This window comes from Homo sapiens, chromosome 18, assembly GCF_000001405.40.
Source record: "Homo sapiens chromosome 18, GRCh38.p14 Primary Assembly".
NCBI classification, from domain to species: Eukaryota; Metazoa; Chordata; class Mammalia; order Primates; family Hominidae; genus Homo; species Homo sapiens.
This window is the reverse complement of record NC_000018.10, coordinates 21,633,871-21,647,925: the sequence shown is the minus strand read 5'-3', so window position 1 is coordinate 21,647,925 and position 14,055 is coordinate 21,633,871. Positions and strand designations below refer to the sequence as shown.

At 43.3% G+C, this 14,055-nt stretch overlaps 1 annotated feature.

The window, feature by feature from the left end:
• Positions 9,251-9,451: a silencer, noted in NCBI's record as "peak3065 fragment used in MPRA reporter construct". NCBI's record gives its function as "represses an SCP1 promoter by STARR-seq MPRAs in K562 erythroleukemia cells {active_cell/tissue: K562}" and the evidence as "EXISTENCE:reporter gene assay evidence [ECO:0000049][PMID:32103011]".

Sequence of the window (14,055 nt, the reverse complement as noted above, 5' to 3'; positions counted from 1 at the left end):
TTAATTATTTCTTACATCCCAAGCAACTAGCATATTGCCTAAAACACAGTAGGTCCTTAGTCAAAATTAGCTGAGTGATAGTGGTATAAACATGAAAATACAACTTTGTGAGCTGGCGCTTATTTTGAAAAGTTCATTTTAAGCATATCATGGAATTTTTTTCTAGTTTCCCTCTCATGTTTCTGTTTATTGTCATTATCGAAAATTTATCCCAAGTCTTCTCTATATAGAGCATTGTATTCAGCACTAGGGATGAAAATAGATACAGTTTTCTCTTTTCTTTTTTTTCGCCAGGGGTGGGGTGGGGTGGGGGGTGGGTGGGGGAGAAGCCTCAAACATTTTTTACACTTTGAACCCAATAAATAAACACACTCCCCCGCCCCCCGACCGAGACAGGGTCTTGCTCTGTCGCCCAGGCTGGAGTGCAATGGCGAGATCTCGGCTCACTGCAACCTCCGTCTCCTGAGTTCAAGTGATTTTCCTGCCTCAGCCTCCTGAGTAGCTGGGATTACAGTCATGCGCCTCCACACTCGGCTAATTTTTTGTATTTTTAGTAGAGATGGGGGTTTCACCATGTTGGCCAGGCTGGTCTCGAACTCCTGACCTTATGATCCGCCCACCTTGGCCTCTCAAAGTGCTGGGATTACAGGCGTGAGCCACCACTCCCGGCCAATAAACACACATTTTATAGAACAATACTCGTATTACGTGCAATACATTCTCATATTTTCTAGCCCATCCTAGTCTAGTCTGGTCTATTTTTTTTACTTGAACATCACTGTTTTTTCTTTTTAAGACACTGTCTCACTCTGTTGCACATGCTGGAGTGCAGTGGTGCAATCTCAGCTCACTGCAACCTCCACCTCCCGGGTTCCAGCGATTCTCCTGCCTCAGCCTCCTGAGTAGCTGGGATTACAGGCATCCGCCAACAGGCCAGGCTAATTTTTGTATTTTTAGTAGAGACAGGGTTTCACCATGTTGCACAGCTGGTCTCAAACTCCTGACCTCAGGTGGTCTGCCCACCTCAGCCTCCCAGAGTGCTGGGATTACAGGCATGAGCCATCGCAACCGGCCCATTTTTATTTTTAAAATGAAAGTGAGGCCGGGCGTGGTGGCTCACGCCTGTAATCCCAGCACTCTGGGAGGCCAAGGCTGGGGGATCACCTAAGGTCAGGAGTTCGAGACCAGACTAGCCAACATGGGGAAACCTGTCTCTACTAAAAATACAAAAACTAGCTGGGCATGGTGGCACACACCTCTAATTCCAGCTACTTGGGAGGCTGAGGCACGAGAATCGCTTGAACCCTGGAGGGAGGTGGAGGCTGCAGTGAGCAGAGATCGCACCACTGCATTCCAGCCTGGGTAAGGGAGTGAGACTCTGTAAATAAATAAATAAATAAAAATTACTGTAAAAATGTATTTTTTGAGACATACCAATGGGTTGCAACCTGCAGTTTGAAAAACACTGGGATTCTAGAAGTTACTAGAAGTTAAGGAAATCACTATTCTCTAGCAGTTATCACACTTACTGATAGCTTCTTTATTTACCTGCTTTCTCCAGCAGACTATAAGCACAGTGAGGATAGGAAACATGTCTTTTTTGCTCTCCTTTTTTTCCCCGGGGCCAGTATAGTGTCTGGCTCATTCAAAATTCTTAATAATTATTTGTTAATAATAATAATACTTGAATGTTAGGCCACGACACTGATGGAAAGGTAAGACTTGCAAATCAGGAGTGGGGAGAGGAGGGATTTTTGCAACCTGTCTCTGAAGCAGAGCATCTGTTAAAGCATTCTGTTTCCCCTGCAGACTTCAGAATCAACATGGTAATTTTTAAAATCTCACAGTTACTCCGAACCTAATATAGCACTGGTTGGTCACAAGGTAAGCACTCAACATTTTAGAACTTAATTTGGAGTTGATGAGGACAATTTGCAAGGTCAGGTGATAAAGAATACCTAAGAAATGTGCTATTTTAACTCGAGGCCTCACTTAAAAGACAGTATTTTGACTCTCACCTTTTTTTTTTTTTTTTTTGAGACGGAGTCTCGCTGTGTCGCCCAGGCTGGAGTGCAGTGGCACAGTCTCAGCTCACTACACCCTCCACCTCCCAGGTTCAAGCTATTCTCGTGCCTCAGTCTCCTAAGTAGCTAGAACTACAGACACGCACCTCCATACCTGGCCAATTTTTGTATTTTTAGTAGAGATGGGGTTTCACAATGTTGGCCAGGCTGTTCTCAAACCTGGCCTCCAGTGACCCTCCTGCCTTGGCCTCCCAAAGTGTTGGGATTACAGGCGAGAGCCACCGTGCCTGACCCTGAACATCTTTTAAATAAAAATATTTACTTGGATCAAATAAGAAAGACTTCTTGTTACTGTTAAGACTGTGACTCAGTATTAATTTATAACTCGACAATTTGTCTATTTGTGCCTTCTATAAATAGTTATCTTCCCCCTAGAGTTAGATACTGGTACCCAAATCTTGCAAACAGTACAATAATCATATCTATTCTATATATACTTCAGGTTTGTTGATCATATTACCAAGAACTAAATACCAGCTGGATATTGGTAGACAAGCTAGCAATACATTAACAGATCTGAATGATCCCAAAAGAGCATTATTCAGCAGGACGTGGTGACTCACGCCTGTAATCCCAGCACTTTGGGAGGCTGAGGCGGGTGGGTCGCCTGAGGTCAGGAGTTCGAGACCAGCCTGGCCAACATAGTGAAACCCCGTCTCTACTAAAAATAGAAAAATTAGCCGGGCATGGTGGTGCATGCCTGTAATCCTAGTTACTCAGGAGGCTAAGGCAGGAGAATCACTTGAACCTGGGGAGCAGAGGTTGCAGTGAGCTGAGATCATGCCACTGCACTCCATCCTGGGCATAAGAGTGATACTCCATCTTTGGGGGCAGTGGGGGTGGGGGGAAGAGCATTATTCTCTGCTTGAAACTGTTAACCCACTAATTAGTATCTGTAAATTTTAAATATACTGTTTATCTATTTTACTTTACCTATGGGCAGATGCAAGGATTTCAGGCCTCTATTTTTCCAAGCTCTGTACTTAACTCCTGGTCCCTGAATATAGTTTATTTTTCCTAATGCTATACAGAAGTGTTCCAATATGACATTTGAAACTTCCAGGTTTTCTTAGAGTTGAAGTAATGCTTGGAGAAACATGATGTAGAATAAACTAGTATATATATTTTCATGACACATATTTAGAAATAGATTTTTACACACAAAAAATGCCTAATATTCTATATATATACCTAGAGCTCTTTATAATCATTAATCATTGATCCTAGTATTTGTAAGTTCTTTTCTTGGGTAAGAAATTTGGACTTGAATTCAGAGCACTTGAATTTGGTTCTTAGCTCTGCTGCTGATCTGCCATTTGACCTGAAGCAAATCATTTACCCTTGCTAGACCTCAGTTTCTTCATCTATAAAATGCAGATAGTAATATCAGTTTTAGAGTTTGTATGAGGATTAGAAAGATAACATAAAAATGCTTGAACTATTGAGTACTATTAAAATATAAGAAGTTGATGGCCGGGTGCAGTGCCTCACATCTGTAATCCCAGCACTTTGGGAGGCCGAGGCGGGTGGATCACAAGGTCAGGAGTTCGAGACCAGCCTGGCCAACATGGTGAAACCCCATCTCTACTAAAAATACAAAAAGTAGCCAGGCGTGGTGGTGTGTGCCTGTCAAAGAAAAGAAGTGAAAACATTAAGAAATACCAGAAAATGAGAGGCAGAGAAAAGGTATGGGAATAGTTAATCTAAAATAGTTATATTTATACTCTCATTTTCTTTTTTAGTTCTTTTTGTTGTTGTTGTTATTGTTGTTGTTTAAGCTTCTGGAAAGATAAATGGTATCTGCTATGGTTTGAATGTGCCCTTCAAAGCACATGTTGAAATTTAATCCTCCACGTGGCAATTTTGAGAGGTAGGGCCTTTAAGAGGTGATTGGCTCATGAGGGCTTAGCGCTTATGTATGGATTAATCTATTCATGGATTAATGGATTAATGGGTTATCATGGGAGGGTACTGGGTAGCTTTATCCGAAAAGAGAGACCAGAGCTAGCATGCTCGGCCTCCTGGCCATCTGATACCCCGCACTGCCTCGGGACTCTTCAGAGTCCCCGCCATAAGACAGCTCTCACCAAATGTAGCTCTTGACTTTTGACTTCTCAGCTTCCATAACTGTAAGAAATAAATTTCTTTTCTTATAAATGACCCAATCTCAGATATTTGTTATTAGGAGCAGAAAACAGACTAAGGCAGTATTAATCTAATTAAGTAATAAACAAAAGTTACTCTGCATAAAAAGATAAGAAAATTGAGTAAATGGTTCAAATAACTGACACATTCAACAAAAGCAGGAGCGCTAAATTTGACCCCATTTTCTCTTTTCCCTAACTTCTCACACCAGGATTTTTCTCCGACAGAAGGTAAGTAACAGGTGACACCTTCTCTATGCACACCTTGTCTCCAGCTTTAGCAAAAAAAACAAAAACCTCATACTTTGAGAGGGAGAGGCCCACTGTCTTAGTCCCTTCAGGCTACTATAGCAGAATACCATAAACGGAGTGGCTTTACACAGCAGACATAAAGGTCTCACAGTTCTAAGAACTCCCTCCATCCAGCCTCTTTTATAAGGACATTAATGTCACTCTGGTTCTGCCCTCATGATCTAATCACCTCCCAAAGGCTCTCTTTTTCTTTGAATTGCATTTTCCAATTAAAAAAAAATTGTTGTTTTGTTTTTGTTTTTGTTTTTTTTTTGAGACAGAGTCTTGCTCTGTCGCCCAGGCTGGAGTGCCATGGCGTGATCTCGGCTCACTGCAACCTCCGCCTCCTGGGTTCAAGCAATTCTGCCTCAGCCTCCTGAGTAGCTGGGATTACAGGCTCGCAACACCACACCCGGCTAAAAATTGTTTATTTTTTAGAGATGGGGTCTTGCTATGTTGCCTGTGCTGAAGTTCAGTAGCTATTCACAGATACAATCATCAAGCACTAAAGTTTTGCACTCCTGGACTCAAGCAATTTTCCTGCCTTGGCCTCCTAAGTAGCTAGGACGCCAATTTTTTTTTACTGATATACAATACCTGTATCATACAATTAACTCATTTAAAATGTAGAATCCAGTGGTTTTTAGTTTCGTCACAGAGTTATGCAATCATCTCCACAATTTTAGAACATTTTTATTATCCTCCAAAAAGCTCAATAACCATTAGTAGTCATTCCCCATTTCTCTCCCCTCGCCTCTTAATACCATCACTTTGTTGCTGTTTTTTACTTTTATTACTTTTTTATTCCTTTTTTTCTTTTTTGTATTTTCTGTAGAGACGGGGGTCTCACTATGTTGCCCAAGCTGGTCTCAAATTCCTGAGATCAATCCATCCTCCCACCTCGGCCTCCCAAAGTGTGGAGATTACAGGCATGAGCCACCACGCCTAGCCATACCATCACTTTGGGGGTGATAATTTCAACATATAAATTTTGGGGAAACACAAACATTCTGATCATAGCACCCACCATGAATTCAGTCTGTATGTTATTAAATGAAAGTAAAAATACTCAAAGTGTTAAAAACAAAAGTAGTATACTACTCTTCAAAAACAGGCAAATATGGGCCAAGTGCAGTGATTCATGCCTGTCATCCTAGCTATCTGTGAAGCTGGGGCAGGGGGATTCTTGAGCTCAGGAGTTTAAGACTGCAGTGAGCTATTTTTGTTTGTTTGTTCATTTGTTTGTTTTGGAGACAGGGTCTTGTCCTGTTACCCAGGCTGGAGTGCAGTAGCGCCATCTCAGCTCACTGCTGCAGCCTCTACCTCCCAGGCTCAATTGATCCTCCCACCTCAGCCTCCTGAATACCTGGGACTACCGGCACAGGCCACCATGCCTGGCTAATTTTAGGGTTTTTTTTTTTTTAGAGATGGGGATCTCACCATGTTGCCCAGGATGGTCTCAAACTCCTGAGCTCAAGCCATCTTCCCACCTTAGCCTCCCAAAGTTCTGGGATTAGACTCGTGAGCCACCATACCCAGCTCCTACAGTGAGCTCTGATCATGCCACTGCACTCCAGTCTGGGCGACAGGGAGACACTGTCTCTAAAATCAAACAAAACCCCAACTGATAATAATAATTCATAATAATAACTAACATCTACTGATCTTAAACTTTATGCCAAATACTATTCAAAGTACTTTACATGTATTTATTATTTTAATCCACCCAATGCACCTTTCAGGTTTGATGGATGAGGAAAACGAGGCACAGAAAATTTAGATAGCCTGTCCAAGGTCACTCAAATAATTGAAGGGCAGAGCCAGTACTCAAATTCAGAGTCTGGCTCCAGGAATCCCCTCTTTCATCAATATGTTACACTGTATAAGAAAATTTAGCCTGGTGCGGTGGTTCACGCCTGTAATCCCAGCACTTTGGGAGGCCGAGGCGGGCGGATCACTTGAGGTCAGGAGTTCCAGACCAGCCTGACCAACATGGAGAAACCCCGTCTCTACTAAAAATATAAAATCAGCCAGGCATGGTGGCGCATGCCTGTAATCCCAGCTACTCAGGAGGCTGAGGCAGGAGAATCTCTTGAACCCGGGAGGAGGAGGTTGTGGTGAGCCGAGACCGCACGATTGCACTCCAGCCTGGGCAACAAGAGTGAAACTCCGACTCAAAAAAGAAAAGAAAAGAAAATGTAAATAACACAAGAATGAAATACAGTATGGTAACGGAGGGCGTCAAATAATCGACAAAAGGAAAAACCAAAAAAAATTAAAAATGATAAACAGTATGAATGCCAGGTATGAAGTATTCTTGACAAAAACATTTTCTTCTCTTTTTTTCTCCCAGCGCCTTCAGATGGAGACAAAAAAACTAAACTTGAAGAGTTATCAGTCCAACTAGATCAAACCTCCAGTTTAGGAGACATTCAGGGGACAGAGGAGCATGTTAAAAGATAAGCTGGGGGCCGGGCGCGGTGGCTCAGGCCTGTAATCCCAGCACTTTGGGAGACCGAGGAGGGTGGATCACGAGGTCAGGAGATCGAGACCATCCTGGCTAACACAGTGAAACCCCATCTCTACTAAAAATATAAAAAATTAGCCGGGCGTGGTGGCGGGTACCTGTAGTCCCAGCTATTCAGGAGGCTGAGTCAGGAGAATGGCGTGAACCTGGGAGGTGGAGCTTGTAGTGAGCCAAGATCGCGCCACTGCACTCTCCAGCCTGGGTGACAGAGCGAGACTCTGTCTAAAAAAAAAAAAAAAAAAAAAAAAAAAAAAAAGATAAGCTGGGGATGCAATCTTGCAATCTGCAAAATACAGAATTTGGAAAACTTTATTAATTGTAAGGGAAGACCTAAAATGGAGTAAGAAAACAAACAGGGCCAGGCTTGGTGACTCACACCTGTAATCCCAGCACTTTGGGAAGCTGAGGTGAGCGGATTGAGCCCAGGAGTTTGAGACCAGCTTGGGCAACATAGAGACATCATCTTTACAGAAAAAAAAAAAAATCAGGTGGGTGTGGTGGCATGCACCTGTAATTCTAGCTACTCAGGAGGCTGAGATGGAGGATTGCTTAAGCCCAGGAGTTTGAGGCTACAATGAGCTATGATCATGCCACTGCATTCCAGCCTATGTGACAGAATAAGACTCCATCTCTAAAAAAATAATTAAATTTTAAAAAAGCACAGAAGGATAGATAAAATGTATGCATGTATGTCACAAATATGCATCAGCAATAAGCAGTCAAATTCATTTTGGATCCTATCTGTATATATATTGTAAAGTTTTGGGGTTTCAAAAGTACCAATTAACTACACTCTCCATCTCCAGATTTTGAATTAAATTGAGAAAACAGATGGGGGCTATCTGCTTTATTAATGGTAAAGCTAGATTTAAAACATAGATTGGATTGGAAGATAAAGTGAAATGCCCTCCTTCCCCCAAGGCACAACTCAGGATGAGTTTATAGGGAGAGCTGAATGCACACAGCACATTTACCCCAAGTGTGGGTCACGCACAGAAAAGAAAGCTATATAGTGTGGAGCTCCTCCAGGCCTGCCTTTTGGTGGATGCCCCCAGGGAATGCCAGCAGAACACAGACTCCCTTGCTGAGGGAGGGAAACAAAATGGTCAACCCTCTTCTACCCTCAATATTTTATGAGCTGTATTCTATTTTATAGGCTCAGGCAGGAATATAGAAAGAGGAAGAAATGTGTTGCCCTTATACAAAAGATAATTTAGCCAGACACGATGGCTCATGCCTGTAATCTCAGCACTTTGGGAGACCGAGAAGGGTGGATCACCTGAGGCTAGGAGTTTGAGAACAGCCTGCCCAAAGTGGTGAAACCCTGTCTCTACTAAAAATGCAAAAAATTAGCCGGGCATGGTGGCAGGCGCCTGTAATCCCAGCTACTCGGGAGGCTGAGGCAGGAGAATCACTTGAACCTAGGAGGTGAACGTTGCAGTGGGCTGAGATCGCACCACTGCACTCCAGCCTGGGCAACAAGACCGAAACTCCATCTCAAAAAAAAAATAAATAAATAAAGGTAATTTATAGGTTAAAATTTTCATAAATATTCCCTGAGAGGTGTCATTTTATGAGAACATTTAATAAAGGCTAGAACCTGTTAAGTGTGATTAGGAAACTCAAGCACATTATTTCTTACTGAAATATAATCCACAAAAAATAAATCCATAATAAATTCAAAATTATAACTCCAAAGAGACCTTGGCCTAATAAACATGCTTCTCACTGAACTACAATATGTTCTTAATAGAACATTTGCTTCTTCTAAGTTGGATGCCAACAAAACATCCACATAAACAGACATTGTCAATGTGTAAATATAGAAGAAAAATATTACACAAAGTGTAAATATAGAAGATACATGCAGAAAGGCAAGGTTGCAGTTTAGTGGGTGGGAAAAACTAGGTTAAAGGTGAAAGTGACCGGGCACAGTGGCTCACGCCTGTAATCCTAGCACTTTGGGAGGCTGAGGCAGGCAAATCATGAGGTCAGGAGTTCGAGACCACCCTGGCCAACATAGTGAAACCCCATCTCTACTAAAAGTTCAAAAAATTAGTTGGGCATGATGGTGGGTGCCTGTAATCCTAGCTACTCAGGAGGCTGAGGCAGGAGAATTGCTTGAACCTGGAACGCAGAGGTTGCAGTGAGCCAAGATTGCACCACTGCACTCCAGCCCAGGTAACAGTGTGAGATTCTGTCTCAAAAAAAAAAAAAAGTGAAAGTGACTAATGGTGAGTAGATATGCAAATGAGGTGATGATCAGGAGAGAAGATGTGAAGAATTGGGCTCTGTGATGGTTAGTTTTATTGTGTAAACTTGACTAGGCCACAGGGTGTCCAAATATTTGGTTAAACATTATTTCTGGGCGTGTCTGTGAGAGTGTTTCTGGATGAGATGAGCATTTGAATCAACAGATTGAGTAAAGAAGATTGCCCTTCCAAATGTGGGTGAGCCTCATCCAACCCATTGAGAGCTTGAACAAAACAAAAAGGAATTTGTTCTCTCCACCTGTCTGAGCTGAGACATTGGTTTTCTGCCCTTACACTGGAATTCACACCATCAGTGCTCATGGTTATCAGGCACTGGGACTCACCCTGAACTATGCTACTGACTTGTCTTAGTCTCAGCCTCCATAATCATAGCCAATTCCTTACAATAAATTTCTTTCTGTATCTCTCCAATCGGTTCTGTTTCTCTGGGGAATCCTAATACAGTCCCCCCAAATAGTTGATTGGTTTTCTTTAATCTATTAATGTCCTGGCCCGGTGCATTGGCTCACACCTGTAATCCCAGCACTTTGGGTGGTAGAGACAGGCGCATCACCTGAGGTCAGAAGTTCGAGACAAGCCTGGGCAAGATGGCAAAACCCTGTCTCTACTAAAAATACAGAAATTAGCCTGGCATGGTGGTACACACCTGTAATCCCAGCTACTCTGGAGGCTGAGGCATAAGAATCACTTCAACCCAGGAGGCGGAGGTTGCAGTGAGCAAAGATCATCACACCACTGCACTCCAGCCTGGGCAACAGAATGAGACTGTCTCAAAAAAAAAAAAGAAAGAAAAACAAAATTTCAACATGAGATTTGGAGGGGACAAACACCCAAACTATAGCAACCTGTATATTTAGATGCATGCTAGCCAAATCCCTCAGATGATGTAATCTTTCTAGCAAGCACAAAAAATAATTATCAAATGCTCTAATCGTGCACAGTTAAGGGGAAGTACTCAATAAAAACAAATGCTAGGCCTCTGACTCAAATCTTTTTTTTTTTTTTTTTTTTTGAGACAGAGTCTCGCTCTGTCGCCCAGGCTGGAGTGCAGTGGCGTGATTTCGGCTCACTGCAAGCTCTGCCTCCCAGGTTCACTCCATTCTCCTGCCTCAGCCTCCCAAGTAGCTGGGACTACAGGCACCTGCCACCATGCCCAGCTAATGTTTTTGTATTTTTAGTAGAGATGGGGATTCACCGTGTTAGCCAGGATGGTCTCGATCTCCTGACCTCGTGATCCACCCGCCTCAGCCTCCCAAAGTGCTGGGATTACAGCCACTGTGCCCATTTTTCTTTTTGTTTTTTAATTGAGACAGAGTTTCACTCTTGTTGCCCAGGCTGTAGTGCAGTGGAATGATCTCAGCTCACTGCAACCTCCGCCTCCCGAGTTCAAGCAATTCTCCTCCCTCAGCCTCCTGAGTACCTGGAATTACAGGTGTGTTCCACCACGCTCAGCTAATTTTTGTATTTTTAGTCGAGACGAGGTTTCAACATGTTGGCCAGATTAATCTCGAATTTCTGACCTCAGGTGATCTGCCCGCCTCGGCCTCTCAAAAGTGCTGGGATTACAAGTGTGAGCCACCACGCCCAGCCCTCTGACTCAAATCTTAAAACTTCAGAATAGAAGTCGGATTCAGATTGTGCAGAAATATACATCAGCCTGTGACAAGGAGCAGACATGGAAGTGACTCTTAATTGGAAACATCCTGCTGGAACCTGAATCTTTCTTTTTTTTTTTTTTTTTGAAACGGAGTCTTGCTCTGTCGCCCAGGCTGCAGTAGTACGATCTCGGCTCACTGCAAGCTCTGCCTCCCAGGTTCACGCCATTCTCCTGCCTCAGCCTCCCGAGTAGCTGGGACTACAGGCTCCCGCCACCACGCCCGGATAATTTTTTTATTTTTAGTAGAGATGGGGTTTCACTGTGTTAGCCAGGATGGTCTCGATCTCCTGACCTCGTGATCCGCCTGCCTCAGCCTCCCAAAGTGCTGGGATTAAAATCTCATCCCTGATTTAGAAGGCTCTTACTGGGGAAAAAAAAGTAGCCATTGAATGGCTACTCAACCAACCATGGATTAAGACAAATGAAACCGAAGCTCTAGTCTTGGAAGTTTTCATCAGTTGCCTTTCCATATTTTATTTTAGCTTCTAGAATTCCATGGCTGATTTTCATCCCCAGATGCATCAGACTTACCCGAGAGGTTCCCCAGAGTGGAAGGCTCCGGGTCAGGTCTGTCCTCAAATGGCCAGCTCTGTCACTGTGAAGCCTGCTTAATAGTAAACACAGGACAATCGTGGCCTTAGCTGCCTTGCAGTTTCCCTCCTCCAGGACCTAGTGCTCCCCTGCAGCCAGCAGACAAGAGCCAATTATTATGAGATATGCAGTGATTTGGAACGAGAATTGATAGAGAGGTTTTGTTTCCAGAGCATGTAGCTTATTGGAACCCTATTTCAGTCAAGAGATATTGGATGGTTTCTTACCTCCTCTCCTAAAGACAGGCTGACCCAGTGTGGTGTGTTCCTCACTGTAATTCTAGGGTACACTCGGGTAAAAATATAATTGTTGCTTAATTTTCCTGAGCATCACTATAGAAAGATGGAAATAGTCATGATTATAGTGGTTTTAATATGATTGTCATGTTTTATTTTCGAGTCCATCAACTTTTATCTTTAATTACCCAAAGGTCAGTCTGTACTGACCTTTGTATGAAGCCATAATGGAGCCAGGCGTGGTGGCTCACACCTATAATCCCAGTACTTTGGGAGGCCAAGGTGGGCGAGGTCAGGTGTTCCAGACCAGCCTGGCCAAGATGGTGAAACCTCGTCTCTACTAAAAGTACAAAAATTGGCCGGGCGCAGTGGCTCACACCTGTAATCCCAGCACTTTGGAAGGCCAAGGTGGGCGGATCACGAGGTCAGGAGATCGAGACCATCCTGGCTAACATGGTGAAACCCCATCTTTACTAAAAATACAAAAAACTAGCCGGGTATGGTGACAGGTGCCTGTAGTCCCAGCTACTCGGGAGGCTGAGGCAGGAGAATGGCGTGAACCCGGGATGCAGAGCTTGCAGTGAGCCAAGATCGCACCACTGCACTCCAGCCTGGGCAACAGAGTGAGACTCCGTCTCGGAAAAAAAAAAAAAAAGTACAAAATTAGCAGGGCATGTGACACACACTTGTAGTCCCAGCTACTAGGGAGGCTGAAATGGGAGAACTGCTTGAACCCGGGAGGCAGAGATTGCAGTGAGCTGAGATCATGCCATTGCACTCCAGCCTAGGCAACAGAGTGAGACTCCGTCTAAAAAAAAAAAGAAAAAAAGAAAAAAAAAAAAAGAGAGAGGAAGAGGAAGGAAGGGAGGGAGGGAGGGAGACACATAATGGAGAATACAAAAGGAAGAAAAGAAGAAAAGATTTCTACCCTAAAAATATTAAAATCGGCTGGAGACAAACTGAACAAGACAGCAAGACTTAAGGATATATGCTGAATAGCATTTGAGTAGTACAGAACAGCTTAGCACAGAGAAAACCCACACAAAGGGAAGCCATCAGTGACTGTGACAGGGAGTGAAGGAGGGCAACTGGGGAATACATCCTAGGAGGTAGGAAAAGCACAGAGCCCGTGCATCCTCCAGACACCAGTGGCTTATTGTGGCCCTTGGGCAAATAAGTTCCACCTCTGTCAGCTTCAGTTTGCTCAACTTGAAAACAGAAGGCAAGGACTAGATGGTCTGTAATGTCTTTCAGCTATAATGATACAGGATTCTTAAGGACAAACACAGAGAACTTGGGAAGGTGAGGATGTTACAGGAAGAGGAAAGACAAGCACAAAGCCACAGAAGTAGGAAAACACTAGTTGTGCATAGGCAGCGTGTGTTGTGGGATGGCAAAGACCCTAAACAAGCCTGTTTAACTGTTCTTTTTTTTTTTGAGACATTTAAAATGGCCCCCAGGTTTAGTGCTGTCGTGTTCCTAAATTCAAGAAGGCTATGATGTGCCTTTTTGAGAAAATAAGTGTTAGATAAGCTTTGTTCATGGATGAGTTAGTGCTGCTAGCCATGAATTAACAAATCAGTAGTATATATGTATTACATATACTACTATATATGTCTCTAAACAGAAACACTCATAAAACAAGGTTATGTATTGGTTGGTTGATGAAAATGTGACTAGAGGCTTGCAGGAACTTAACCCTATATTTTCCCTAGAAGTAGTGGTTTAGTATTAACAGCAACTTTACACAACTACTGAAAATTCCAAGAATTGACTGCACTGGGTATCTACAGCCTTGCTATTATTACTATTTTCTTCATAAACTGAATCTCACTGTATATTAACATTTCTCAAAATATATGGAATACGTAAACAAAACCCTAAAACTTCACTGAGAAGAAAAGCTGGTTCAGATAGAGAACACTACTATGTTCCCACACAGAAAGAACTTAGTATTACAAAGTTTATCAGCCGGGTGTGGTGGCTCACGCCTGTAATCCCAGCACTTTGGGAGGCTGAGGCAGACGGATCACGAGGTCAGGAGATCGAGACCATCCTGGCTAACACGGTGAAACCCCGTCTCTACTAAAACTACAAAAAATTAGCCAGGCGTGGTGGTGGGTGCCTGTAGTCCCAGCTACTCGGGAGGCTGAGGCAGGAGAATGGCATGAACCCGGGAGGTGGAGCTTGCAGTGGACTGAGATTGCACCACTACACTCCAGCCTGGGTGACAGAGCAAGACTACGTCTCAA